Here is a 14,811-nt window from a genome sequence, read left to right on the forward strand (position 1 = left end):
GGTCAGAAGTTTGGGTCACATGGTGTATGCATTTCTCAAAACTCATTAAATGGTATGCTTAAGATTCGTCCATTTCATTATATATAAATTTTATCTAGAAATGTAAATATCTTGGTTAGTAATAAAAGTGCCAAAATGTTTAGGGCTAAGTACTGATGTCTACAAATTACTCTGAAATGCATCAAAAATAAGATGAATTGATAAATAATGAATAATTATATACATATGTAATGAAGCTAATGTGGTAAAATATTGTTGAACCTAAGTGGTGCTCTATGGGTGTTCACTGCACAATTCTTTCAATTTTTCTGCACATTTGAAAAGATAATAAAACGTTGGGGAAAATTTAAGGAACTTTGAATGCATATTAAACCTTTAGATGACTGTTTTACCAATATGGGAGTCAGTAAAATACAGTGATTAAGAGGCTGGGGTCCTGAATCAGAGCTTTGAGTTTAAATTCTATTAGTTGGATCTTTTATTCGTTTTGAGAACTTTGACAAATTGTAGGTTTTGCTCTCCTATAAAATGTGAATAGTATCTACATCATAGAGTTTTATGAAGATTAAATGGGTTAAATTATATAACGTTTTTCAAGATGTTTGGTATAGAATTAGCTTTCAATAAGAGTTACTTTAAAAAAGTCAAAGGAGCATATAAAAAACACTGTAGTTAAAACCATAGTTTTGTTGTCCTATAAGAGACAATTCTAGTAAGTAAAAATATCTTCCAGCAAATATTGAATGTCTTTTCCTATACTCTCCAAAGGATAGAAATGATGAAACTTAATTATTTTTAAATATTTAAACATTTTATTTCATTCAAATAAAAATATAAGCTCTAGAAAAAATTGTTTTCATTATATGTTTCATAACTTCAGAGTAATTCTAACTCAGCACATTTGTAGTGTACCATTGCCAAGATCTTGAGGTAGGAAGCAGGAAAACAAAATGCACTGAGACAGGGTTCCTACTCACGAGGAGTTTACAGTCTACAGCTTAATGTTTCACTAAGCAAATAGGCTGAAATGTGCTTTCAGATGTTTACCTTAAATTATAAATAAGTAGAATCCAGATAGGGCATAGATAAAAGTCTCTATAATAGAACAGATAGAACTTTCTGTGGTGATGAAAATATTCTGTGTCTGTGCTGTCCAGTATGGTAAGCACTAGTCACACGTAGCCATTGAGAACTTGAAACGTGGCTAGTGCAACTGAGAAACTACATTTCTCATTTTATTTAATTTTAATTTAGCCACATGTGGCTAGTGGCTACCGGATTGGACAGTGCATCTCTAGAGTGTGTTTTTCAAACTACCTGAGGAAAAAGGCCAGTTATTTTAAATTTCTGATCTGTTATGAACTAATATTTTTATAGAATGCAATACAAATTACGAAAATGAAAAAAAAGATATGCAAAATACCTCCTCAGTTTTTTAAAAGATTCATCAAACAAAATTACTGTGTCAAAATTTCTATAAAAATTTCTAAACACTCTCAACTTCAGTATTTATGCCATGTAACAATGACAAATAGTTTTTAGTGTGGCAGTGGTCATAGACTACACTTTCTACTAGGTAGAGGTCTCTTGCCTAATGTACCTAAAAATAAATAATTTCCTAAATCCAACCCTTTATGTTAAAATTACTGGTACAGGTAATTTTTTTTTACAGGTTTAAGAACAATTCAATAATGCAGTTACTGATGTAACAGTTAACACTCTGTGTAGCGAGTCTTGTCTAGGAGAGCTGTACCTTGACAGTGCAATGTGGACAACTTCAAGGTGGATTGAGAAGGCTTATTTGATCCAGTGAAGCCATTTTTGCAGTTGGAGGTGTAAGCTGAAAAATCTTTCCTTCTATAAAGTTCAGCCCGACGTTTACAGCAGCCAAATTTGCTCAGCAAAAGAAAGAAATCTCTTTGGAATGTCTTAGTGAATATTGCATACAGAAATGGATTGGCACAAGAATTGATGGGATAAAAAAGAACCAGTAAAACTTTAGAGTTGGTTACTGTGATAAGAGGTACTTTGAAGGCAGCTGAGATGGCAAAAAAAGAGATAGGTGCCATGCAGGTGAAATCGGTGAAGATGAGGATTGCCATTTTCTTAGCAATCTTTGTATCTTTATTGGTAGCCATTAATTCTGGGTTTCGAACTGCAAAATAAATTTTAATGTAGCAAGCACAAATTATGAAGAAGGCCACCACATTGAGAATCAGGATGGTTAATATATAGACTTGTGAGAGAGTGGTTTCCACATCCATGGGGAAGCAAATACTGACCTTCATGTAATTGCTGACACCGACAAGGGGCAACATAGCAATTAGAGAAGAAAAGAGCCATCCTCCAAGCATAATCAGAATGGCATGTCTTAATCGCAGCTTTTGGTCCAGGTGAATAGCATAGGTGATGGTGTGCCATCTTTCTAGAGTGATGACGGTGAGGGTGTAGACAGAAAGTTCACTTGCGAATACAGTGAAAAAGCCAGCAGTGCTGCACCCACTCCCTGTCTGCCAGTCTATGGCATGGTTATAGTACTGGCCCTTGGTTTGGGAATCAACTGAGGCTATGAGCAGCAGATAGAGCCCCATGCAAAAGTCTGCAAAGGAGAGATTGCACATGAGAAAACGAGGCACTGTAAGTTTGTAACGACTTGTCAGGAGAACAAAAAGAACAGTCATGTTTCCCATGATGGCTAGAATATTAATCAGCCAAATCAGGACCCTAAGGAAGTCATAGCCCATAATATCTTCACAGGGATTAAAAGCATCTGGTTCAGGAGCACATCGGGGTGTCTTGGGTAAGCAGAAACCATATTCATAGTCCCAGCCACTCAGTTCACTCTCAGCAAGCATGGAAGAATAACTGTAAGAAGAATTATTGGCTTGAGGTAAGGGATTTTCTCTGAGTATTAAAAAATTCAAGAATTATGTTTCTTTAAAGGCAAAGAAACAAAAGGAAACAAAGCCATAATAGCCTCAGCCTTACATTTATTTGTTAAATTATTTGAGAACTCTGATTTGATGTAGGAGTACCTTAAGAAGGGAATGAAAAGCCATTTAGACTATATATACACACACATATATACACACATATATACACACATATATATACATATATACACATATATACATATATACACATATATACATATGTACACACATATACATATATACACACATATATACATATATACACACATATATATACTATACATACATACATATATATATAACATTGATACAAAAACTTAATGAAGCTCTTTACAAAGGATGACTTTCTTTGGAAAACAAGTTTAGAAAGACAATCTATGCTTGGTAAATCTAAAATAATCCTTTCTTGGCATTTTCTTAACTATTTATCTCTCATTTAGTTGCCAACCAAACTGCTACCAAGCTGTTCGTATGTAGTAGAACACAAATGGAATTGGAAGGCTCATGTTGTTGAAAGTCATTAGCTACTGGTGGACTTGTTTGCACTTAAGTCCCTAGCTAATCAAATAGTCCAACAGAGAAATAGAAACCAAGGATAGATTATTAGAAATTTAGGAGCAGAGGAAGAATATAGTTGTGGACAATAGGAAGAGATGGTGAAAACATTGCTCTTTAGGGGTATGAGTCAAAGACAGAGGGAGGCTTAAGAGGTACTTTGTCCCTAGTGAAAGAACAGTCCTTCCTTTGCCACTCCTTTCCAACCCCACTGATACTTCCTGAGTTTAGGGTCTTTTCCTCTCTCTCTCTTTTTTTTTTGAGACGGAGTCTTGCTCTGTCACCAGGCTGGAGTGCAGTGGCACAATCTTGGCTCACTGCAACCTCTGCCTCCCAGGTTCAAACGATTCCCCTGCCTCAGCCTCCTGAGTAGCTGGGACTACAGGCGCATGCCACCGCACCCAGCTAATTTTTTGCATTTTTAGTAGAAACGGGGTTTCACCGTGTTGGCCAGGTTGGTCTCCATCTCCTGACCTCGTGATCTGCCCGCCTCGGCCTCCAAAGTGCTGGCATTACAGGCATGAGCCACCACGCCCGGCCCAGGTTTTTGTCCTCTCTTATGGAGCAATTAGTTTTCTTCCTGATATCCTTTCTCCAATTTTAGCTCTCTCCCTAGTCCATTCTGTATGTTCCTTCTAGAATGGCCTTTCCCAAATACAAAGTTACTAATTTCACTTATCGAATTCAAACCTGCCCCAGGCTCTTACTGGCTATGAGATAAAATCCAAACTCATTGTGATGACTTCCAAGGCCCTCCTTGGTCTGGGTTCTGCCTATCTCTCCAACCTCATCTCTAAGAAGCAGTAGTGCTGCAGAATTCAGAGAATGGGCTCTGGAGCAAGATTGCCAGGATCCATTCCTAGCATGGCTCGTACAGGCTGTGTAATCCCAGGAGAGTTAATTAATATCCGTGTGCCTCAAGTTCTTTATTTGCCAAGTAGGGATAATAATCATACCTTCTATGTTAGAGTTGTGCTAAGAGTTGAATGCATTCATACATGTAGAATGTTTAGAATAATTCTTGAAGCAATCAATATTAGGGATTCTTAAAATTAGCTCTTGCAGATCCCTTGGGCAACCTTCCCTTTGGTCACATAAAATGACTCGTAGTTCTCTGAATAAGTTCTACTGTTTCACTCCTCTGTCTTTGTACGTACTTCTGCCTAGAATTTTCTTCTTTTCCTCATCTCTCTGGTGAATTCCTCCTCATCTGTAAAGATAAGCTCTTCTATGAAGGCTTTCTTGATTATAGTACCCAAGTATTATTTATCCTCCTGCCAGAGCTGCACTTAATACAATTGCAATTATCAAAACCTATTGCAATTAAGTGATGATGCATGTCTATCTTCTTTAATTGTCTAATCACTTCTTGAAAACAGAGGACTAGGTTTTACTTATTTCTGAAATCCCAGTGCCTAGCACAGTTTTGGCTCAGAGTGTTCATTCAATACATGTTTGTAGAGTGAATAATTCTAAACCAGGATGATTCTAGCTCTGAAAGGAACTGAGAGGATACAGGGACAATGAGCACACAGCATGATGCATGTAGGCTCAACAAACATTTTTGTTTTTACCCATCTTCTGCTAATACAATCTTAGGAACTGGAGAAATGGGCATAATTTTTGTGTCAAGGCCATTACATATATGTATTTATAATACATTTTTGTATAATACATGAGGAGCCTTATGGTTCCTACATATTATTAAAAGCATATTTTTCTCTGCTTTCGAAAGCTAACTTCCCATGTTTTGTATTTTAAGTGCATACCTAGTTCAGTGAGTGGAGGAGATAATAAATTGGAAGAATACAATACTGAAGGGAAAGAACACAGATTTTTAAAAAGAAAATATGTTAGAGTATTGTGGAGCCCAGTTTGGAACTAGAGAAGGGCTGCTGCTATGTACAGAAGACCGCATAGGAACCTCTCGTGTTTTATTATTAAATATTGTTATAACCAGCACATTTGTTTGTCCTCTTCTCACAGACATCAATATAATTATCATTTTTTAATCTTTAAAGGGAGGAGATGGTTATAAAGAACTATTAAAGAAAATAGATCATAAATTTCTTAGCATTAGAAAGGTTTTAAGGCCGGGCGCGGTGGCTCATGCCTGTAATCCCAGCACTTTAGGAGGCTGAGGCTGGCAGATCACCTGAGGTCAGGAGTTTGAGACCAGCCTGGCCAATATGGCAAAACCCTGTCTCTACTAAAAATACAAAAATTAGCCAGGCGTGGTGGTATGCCCCTGTAATCCCAGCTACTTGGGAGGTTGAGGCAGGAGAATCGCTTGAACTCGGGAGGTGGAGGTTGCAGTGAGCTGAGATCGTGCCACTGCACTCCAACCTAAGTGACAGACTGAGATTCTGTCTCAAAAAAAAAAAAAAAAAAAGGGTTTTAAAGGCCATCTGATTGAATCCTTTCATTTTATTGGTAACGAAACCAAGATTAAAGGAGGTAAGTGACTTGTCCAAGGTCTCTTGGGGATAGTGACAGTGGCAGCATGAGGTCTTCATAATCACAGTTCAGAGACCTTTCCCCTAACTTCACTCTCTCTCATTGTTTTTCAAAGTGTGGTCCTTGGATCAGCTCCATCAGAATCACCATGGTGTTTGTTAAAATGCAGACCCCTGGCTTTACCCCAAACCCTGAATAAAAAATCTATAGAGACACCGCCCAAGAATTTGCATTTTAAGTAAGTTCTCTGGATGATTCATACAAAATAATAGCCTTTGTTAAATTAGATGAAAACAGTCCAGCTATTCCTGATTTCCTTTACTCCTTTCCCCTTATCAAAACTACTTCAGCTGTTAGAAGCACTATTGTAAAACTTCTAAAAATTCTGCCATGATTTCTGGTTAAATTTATATCAACAAGAGGTCAAACATGTTTTCTCACTTCCTCTCGCTGTCTGGTCCTTTGTCCTTTCTTTTTTTGCCCTTCTGGGCATATGTCTAGCAATTTTTCTCCCTGGTGATTTATCTTTGGACTAAATGCCCACCTGCTGTTACTGGTATTTGTGTCCTGGGATGGCTCCTGAGGGCAGCATCATGCTTATTGACAAAGCCCAGCACAGAGCTGTCTTTAGTATTAGAGGCTATGTGGGGAGTATGAATGGACTCACATGGGCTTAGTAATATTGAATCAGAGGAAGGAGAGCTGTAGCACCGCTGCTCCAGTCACAAGAAAGAAAGGAGAAAAGATGGGAATTTTAGGAGGACAATAGGGCCAACCATAGAGGTAAGGACACATTATCTTGGGGAGAATACGTAAGCCTTAGTGGCTGGCTCTAGAATTTCTAAACTCTAGGGACTGAGGAATGGCTATCTGGTGGGAAGTAGGAGGTAGGAGATTTATCATAAAATGCTTTCACAAGAAGAATGCTCTTTTTACTTAGATTTTATGTTAATTTCAGTTAGTTTTGGAGATGCTAGAGATTAGGGACTTGTCTTAAAGCAGTGATAGCATAGCAAACTTAAGGTTGTATATGCTCATTTGAGAAGGTTTATGGTGAGGACTGGTGAGGATTATATTGAGGATGGTTTAAAGTCTTCCTTCCCCTCAAACCACTCCTTGGTGCTATTATTAACTATATCCATAAATGTTTTCTTGATGATAAGAATAAAGTCATGTGGTTGCAAAAGAGTTACACAGAAGGTTGCTGATAGAATACTGAGCAAGAAGAGAGGGAAGGGTGAAGAAAAGGCCACTGGAGGATATGGGTGCCAGACCTACTGCGAGAAAAGGAAAAGAAGAGACAGTAATACTTATTTACCCTTGGTGTTGTCGCATTGCTTAGCAACTTCCTTCATTCTCATGGTTCTGAAAGCCAAATGGTATTTCTGCTGTTCCTTACAGATGAGGAGAAAGGTCTCAAAAGGGATAAATTTTGCCAGCGATACTCTGTTACAGGAAGGTTACTTCCAAAGATTCATATACTTGGAATGGAACCCCAAAGTCCAGGGTCATTCCACCGTACCAACCTGAAGCATCTGTCTAACTTGGAGATTGATAGGAAAAGAAAAGAAGAGAAAATTTCAGAAAGAGATTGGCAAAGTATCTTAGAGGGACATCTAGTTTTGTAGTCTGGAGGACTCATGGGGGCATAATAAAACTTCTAAATCTTAGTAAATGTGCCATAGGGACACTGGGATTATCTTTTGAGGCATGCTCTTTTACAGTTGAAGATAAGTGAAATGCCAAGGCAGCCAGCATTTATAGCAGAAAAGTGTTAAAAGTTAGTCAGTAAAACAGAGATGTAGCTTCCATCCAGTGTATGTGGTAGCGATAGCATTAAGACTCATTTTAAGCTCAGGAGCATAGTTGTCGAGGTAGCCTAAGTCTCCTTTAAGGGAAGTGGCTACTTTTAAGCTACGTTTGCAATTAGTTAATCTTTGTGGAATGTTGACCATGTGACTAGGGAAAATTCTTACAAATGAAGGTATCAGTTGTATCAGCCTTTGGTGACATCAACATACCTGCAAAATTTTAATTTTTGAGGAGGCTTTAATACAATTGTAGAATAAATATTAAGGAACATTTTAAAATAGTTTTTTTAAACAGTTGAAAGACATACCTGATCAACTTGATGCCAATTGCAAAGAAAAAATTCCCATTTTAAAACTATTAAAAGTTGCTTTGCAACAGCTCCGTAACCAAGACTTGTATCAAAAGAAAATAATTGATGCTGATAATAAGGTGCACACAGAACAAGATACGACTTCTGAGTTTCCTTGCATGCAAATACTTACAGTGTTTTGTTATTCACTTTCCTTACTGTGCTTTCACATTGTTTGGAAAAGTTTTCAGAAATGGAATGTGAAAAATTCTGTCTGAAAGAGAAGAGGTTAAAAAAAGCATTTGAGCTTTTGGACTTCAGGCTAAACCTGACTGTGCGTCTATTTATGCTTTGTTCATGCAAATTCTTTACCTATTACACCAGCATCTCGTTCTGCACCATTGTCCTAACTGAAATGCTTCCTGAGGAGAGAGTAAAGGCTTCTGAATTGTCATTAGAGTGCTTCCAGCTTAGATAAAATGCTTCTGAATACTAAGCATTTTGTGTGGGCACTAGAGATGAAAAAACTTAAATTTGTCATATTGAATCAAGGATTTTCCAATGATTACTAAAAGCTACTTTTATGATATATTAAGGTTTGCTCCTTACCACTCTCCTTTCCACATTGGCCTTAACAAATAGTCATTCTGTGTTCATGGTTTTGAATTGTAACTGGGCATCTTTTTTGTAAGGATTTGAAGATGCTGGACCTGACATTATGATGTGAATTTCAGGTTATTTTTTCTTATGTGCAGAAACATACGTGGGTGCTCCCTACTCCTCCATCTTTCCCTCTAAGAAGTTTAGCCTGTGGAAAGAAGAGAAATACCAATAAAATAAAATGAGGCCTGTTCTCACCTGGGGGAGCACTTACCTAGAGATGAAATTTAAGGGAGATACAAATGAATAAAGAAATAGGGTATAAGCATTCCCTTTTCTTCCACAGCCTTGCCAGCATCTGTTGTTTTTCTCATTGTGGTTTTGATTTGCATTTCTCTGATGATTAGTGATGATGAGCATTTTTTCTTTAGAAGACATACAAGCAGCCAATAAGCATATGAAAAAATGCTGTTCTATTCATGCCCTTTGCCCATTTTTTAATGGGATTATTTATTTTTTTGCTTGTTGATGCATTTAATTTCATTATAGATTCTGGATATTAGACCTTTGTCAAATGCATAGTTTGTGAATATTGTTTCCCATCCTGTAGGTTGTCTGTTTACTCTGTTGATAGTTTCTTTTGCCGTGTGGAAGCTCTGTAGTCTAATTAGGTCCCACTCATCAATTTATGTTTTTGTTGCAATTGCTTTTGAGGACTTAGCTAAAAATTCTTTGCCAAGGCTGATGTCAAGAAGGGTATTTCCTAGGTTTTCATTTAGGACTTTTACAGTCTGAGAAAAGGGAATTCTCATACACTGTTGGTGGGAGTGTAAATTAGTTCATCCACTGTGGAAATCAGTTTGGAGATTTCTAAAAGAACTTAAAACAGAGCTACTATTCAACTCAGCAATCTCATTACTCGGTATATACCCAATGAAATAGATCATTACACCAAAAAGACATGTGCACTTATATGGTCATTGCTATGCTATTCACAAAAACAAAGACATAGAATCAACCTGGGTGCCTGGATTGGATAAAGAAAATGTGGTACATATATACAATGTAATTCTATGCAGCCATAAAAAATCATGTCTTTTGCAGTAACATGGATGGAGCTGGAAGCCATAATCTTAAGTAAATTTATTCAAGATTAAAAAACCAAATACTGCATCTTCTCACTTAAAAGAGGGAGCTAAACACTGGGAACATATGAACATAACTGGGAACATATGAACAGGCACTGCAGAATACTAGAGGGGTCAGGGAAGGAGGGAGGCATGGGTTGAAAACTATCTATCGAGTATTATGCTCACTTCCTGGATGCAATATACTCATGTAACAAACTGGTACATGTACCCCCTGTATCTAAAATAAAAGTTGAATCAAAAAAATAGTGGTTGTCCACAGAGGAGGTCTACAGAAAAAAAAAAACAGTGGTTTCTTCATAATTACAAATGCCCCTGATTGTCTCTTATTTCTTCTCTCCTCATATTCAGTGCCCTGATGGCATTCTCATGACAGTCCATCTTTGTTTTCATAGAGAATGAAATTTGCATCTTCTCTGATGAGACAATGCATTGTTTCTACACAGTTCATGCATATTCTATGAAAGAAGTATCATGCTGTTGACACATTATTACAAGGTTTATCAACTGCATTCATTAAGAATTTGGACATTATGGAAAAGGACAGGCTCAGAAGGGACTACTTCCAAAAGGTTGCTTGGTGAAGTCAGATCAAGTTTCCCTGAGGGCAGTAGGGTGCAAGGCCGCAACCAGAAAAGATATGTGACATTTGCCTATTTTCCTTTTCATAAGTTTCAAATAGACTTATATTGTAATAGCAATTTGTAAAACATCAGAAAATTGAATTGTAACACACAGAAAGCAGGTAAAACATGAATGTATAGCTCAATGATTTCTCACAGAATGATCACCTACGTACCCATTAGTCAGGTCAATAAATGAAAATAAGCCACACCTCCTCCCTGCCCCCGCCAAGAAAAAAGAAAAATGGGAAAAGAGAGCAGGCTGTGAGGGCCTCAACTTTTACTGATGAGGAAGGATAAATGAGGCAATTCAAATTGGACATTTCTATGTATTATTCTTCTACAATACTTATGAGACAATTCCTTGCAGGAATACTTTGTCTCTTTCACCTACTGGAATAAAAATCCCTGAACTAAAATTTTCACATGCCAGTGATTTCAGAAGGGGTGTGATTTCTTTGCCAAAAAATGTGGGTATCCAGAATCAGCTCTATCATAAACCAGTATCTCTGTCATTTTCCTAATTGTTCTCTCACCAGCTTTGCTCACCCCCAAACCATCCTCTACCTTGCTGCAAAGTGGTATTTTATAAAAGCAAATTTGAGTCATCTTGCTTAAAAGTCTTCATGGCTCCCCATCCTCTAAACAACCGGGCCTGGCACTCAGACCATCATGGCCCACATCTCCTTGGCTTCCTCTTCTGACTCATCTTCTTCCATGTGTCCATGTTTCAATTTTTCTGAGTGAGTTTCATCTACTGTCTCTTGCCTTTTTGTCTTCACATGAGCTATTCTATCTTCTTTGCTTTTTCTCACTCTGTCTAGACAACTCCTGCCTGTTCTTCAAGACTCAGCATAAATCACTTCCCTCAGGAAGCCTTCCATAATCCCTGCTGCCATTAACAAACTCTTGTTCAGTGCTCCCAGAACACTCTGCTCTGTTCTCAGATCTGTCATAACATTTGCCGTGTTGGACTTAAATATTGGCTCTCTTGTGTGTTGCTCCCATACAGCTGTCTGTGACTTATCTTTGTAACCTCAGGCTTTCACACAGTATTTGAAACATAGTAAGTGCTCAGTTAATGTTTTGGAAGATCAGTTAATGGCACATGACTCTGTGAATACAGCAAGTGTTTTGTCTTCTCAGCTACCCAAAAAGCCTCAGGTGGAGCTGAACCTCCTATATGCAAGGTACAAATAATGCATACTGGTTGATTAATTATAAATAATTCATTTTGGTTGATTCCAAACAAAGACAGCAGCATCTGGTGTCACTCTCTCAGTGCCTTATCTAAGTAATTGAATGGATCCTATCTCCTTAGGCTGCAATAATAACCCTTTAGGGCAGTGTTGTTCCAACTGTGAGTTGTGTGACCCATTGGTGGGTCATGAAAGCAATAGAGTGCATCAAGACTGGCATTAAAAATAAAAAAAGCATAAAATAAAATAGAGTAAAATAAGAAAATATCAGCATATTACATATTAAAAAGTTAAGTATCACTCAGCTTTATTTCTGTTACATATGTGACATGTACTGGGTTGCAATACCAAAGTATTTGTTACTGTGCATCTCAGTCAAAAAAGTCTGGAAAACAGTGCTCTGAGGAAAGAACGAAATTCTGCCACCGTGTCCCCCACCCTGGACTGAACGGAATCAGATACCCACTACTGGATGCAAACCATGCAGGAGCTCCTTCCCTTCCTGTTCCCATGCTAAGCTTATCTTTAGCTGTAATTCTGTTCTGAAATAGAAGATGCTCGTCTACTAGGAGAGAAATAGTTTTGAAAACTTTCTGTAATATTTTGTGTCCATTTTTAAATCAAAGATTTAAACATTAGGTAAATTTTGCCCTCCTGAGGCTTCTTCCTTCACTTAAAAAAATGATGCTCTCTGATAAGGATTAGAACAAATCCTTTGAGATGCCAGTTTTGTACTCCATTCTGCAAATGCTAAAATGGCCTCTAATTCAGTTTACCCAGAATTGGCTACAAAGGTCTTCTAGCTGCAGGGTGAATCAACTATTTGGTAGCAGTTTCCACAAGGAAACAGAACAGTTTGTTTTCTTCTTGTCTATTTGAAAGTGACCCCATGTCTACGGAGCTGGCCAAGAAGGTAGGGAGTGAAGGGGAGTGGAGCTGTCTACTCATTGACTATTTTGAAATCTGAATTTCTGCCACAGCTTGGGTAGGCTTTACCTTTTGGTTTCTACTTACTCTTTTGTTGGCAAGTTTCTAAAAGCACAGCAGTGGCTGGGGTAAGTCAACGTGGCCTCCAGGAGATTGACAAATGTTTCTCTTGATGGCAATTTTTTTAGAGAATAGGATGACGTGGCAATTAGCCTCTGAATGGACTCTAGGCCATAGCTCGGCAGGGCCTGCAATTTGGTGGAAGAAATATCCCTGAACAATAAAGGGGAGAAATGCTTTTTATTTATTTATTTTATACATTTTTTTTTTTTGAGACGGAGTCTTGCTCCGTCGCCCAGGCTGGAGTGCAGTGGCACGACCTCGGCTCACTGCAAGCTCCGCCTCCTGGGTTCACGCCATTCTCCTGCCTCAGCCTCCCGAGTCGCTGGGACTACAGGCGCCCGCTACCACGCCCGGCTAAGAGACCGGGGTTTCACCGTGTTAGCCAGGATGGTGTCGATCTTCTGACCTCGTGATCCGCCCACCTCGGCCCCTCAAAGTGCTGGGATTACAGGCATGAGCCACTGCGCCCGGCCATATTTTATACATTTTATTCAGAGAATGAAACCTCCCCTCAACAATATTATCATTATAGGCTCTGAGGAATCTTTTCTCCATCTTGCTTTCCCCTTAATTCTCCATTTCAATTACTCTCACTAAGATCTGAATTCAGAAAAGCGAGTCTGTATTTTTTCTCATGTGCGCCTCATTATTCTTTTCAAGGTTAAGTATAACTCCTTGCACCTACCATACATTTATTAGCATTTCTCTCTCTCTCCCCTCTTCCAACTCCTTTTCCCTACCCTCTCTCTTCCTCCCCACCCTCTCTCTTCCTCCACTTCTCTCTACTTAGCAGAAGTGAAATAACCACTTGCTTTATGCGACAGCCAGCACATGCAGTTACATCAGCTTTTGTGCTCTACCCCAGGGGAAATTATTCAGGGCTTCAGATGCCTCAGTCTTTGATTGATTAAGCCCTGCAGGAGAGGTTTTCATGAAGCACAGCCTGGTTACTTATTAAGAGCTTCTGTGTGGCATTAGCCATCATCTACCTAGGAAGCAGAATGCATGTTCTCTAATGCATGTTCTCTAATGCATTCTCTAATGCAGAATGCATGTTCTCTAATGATTCATCTGTTCAAAGCAAGCGAACACTCAGCCTTGCAAGCTGAACTGTGTGAAAAGCTCAGGCTTTGTCAACAAGGTCCTGAACTCTTTGGTTTTACTAGACTTGAGGCAATGCCCAAGAAAATTCCAAACACATTAAGTGTTAGGAGAAAAGAGTCAATGGGAATTAAACAATTCTGCTTATCTTCTAAGTGGCTGCTGCTGGTGCCTCACAAAACTTTTCCAAGCAGCACAGCTCCCCTCAGCAATCATTCCCAAGACTTGGTGTTCAGCACATGGGAGGGGACCAATAGGTGATAGATGGAAGATGAACTTGACAACATGGAATGATGATGGTGTAGGCCCTCAGTGGAAAAATTAAGGCAGCAAAATTTGTCTCAGGGGCTTCAGAATTTCCTGCTTTTGTGTCCCTGTTGATTTAGGTAACCAGGGTTCTCATTCTGCTTTATAGGGTTTTTATCTCAGACATGTTAGGGATTGAGCTCTTTGAAGATCTGGTGGCTTTTTTGTTTGTCTTTTGAGTGGGTACATTTAAAATTAGGTTCTTAGAAACAGTAAGGCCTCGTTACAAGGCAGTGAACCTCTGATAGTGGGTTTTCAGTCTTAGTAACAGACTAGTGGGAGAAATGCTTTTTGAGTAAGGGTGGAGTGGATGCTTTTAGATACGATTCAAGTCCTAGGGGTATAATGAGAACAACCCCTTGGGAAGGAAGAGACCTAGGTCTGGTGCTAGTGTTTTGGACATGAGAGTGTAGGGGTCTGTAGTGCCCACAGTCACTTCTAAGGAGCTAACCAAGCAGCTCTTCAAGCAAATACTGTCATGCAGGAGTCTTGGGAACACAGTGGGTTGGTTGTGTTTTGCACCTGAGCCAGAGGCAGCTCTCTTTGTTTGCCTAGTGACCAAGTAGATGGCCAGCTTGCTGTAACAGCTCTGCCTACAGGATGTGCTAAACTGGAGAGTATTCAGCCAACTTACAAGATTCGGAGTCTGGTATGCTTTGCATATGAGACATGCAGAAAAAGACCCCTAGGATAAGGTTGCCAGAAGTTGAGAGCAGAGAAAGCAGTGGGCAGGAGCCA

The 14,811-nt window shown here is 38.9% G+C and overlaps 2 protein-coding genes across 9 annotated transcripts in view; one reads left to right on the forward strand and one right to left on the reverse strand.

Moving 5' to 3' along the window:
* STON1-GTF2A1L (STON1-GTF2A1L readthrough) overlaps nt 1-14,811 on the forward strand; it is a 246,595-nt gene that overhangs the window by 156,060 nt on the left and 75,724 nt on the right. The gene's annotated exons all lie outside the window — the stretch shown is intronic.
* Nucleotides 790-14,811, reverse strand: part of LHCGR (luteinizing hormone/choriogonadotropin receptor) — a 68,951-nt gene continuing 54,929 nt past the window's right edge. For 3 of the 8 annotated variants that reach the window (XM_047444291.1, NM_000233.4, XM_017004090.1), the window contains 3 exons: nt 12,631-12,816; nt 8,240-8,320; nt 790-2,865 (listed from right to left, as the gene is read on the reverse strand). In XM_047444291.1, the coding sequence (XP_047300247.1) occupies nt 1,713-2,865; nt 8,240-8,320; nt 12,631-12,816 (1,420 nt within the window). In that variant the 3' untranslated portion in view covers nt 790-1,712. Of the gene's footprint in view, nt 2,866-7,263; nt 11,952-12,630; nt 12,817-14,811 lie in introns of those variants that run through there. The other 5 variants (XM_047444293.1, XM_047444292.1, XM_011532834.3 and 2 more) reach the window with 4 other exon arrangements.

Source organism: Homo sapiens, chromosome 2, assembly GCF_000001405.40.
Source record: "Homo sapiens chromosome 2, GRCh38.p14 Primary Assembly".
NCBI lineage: Eukaryota > Metazoa > Chordata > Mammalia > Primates > Hominidae > Homo > Homo sapiens.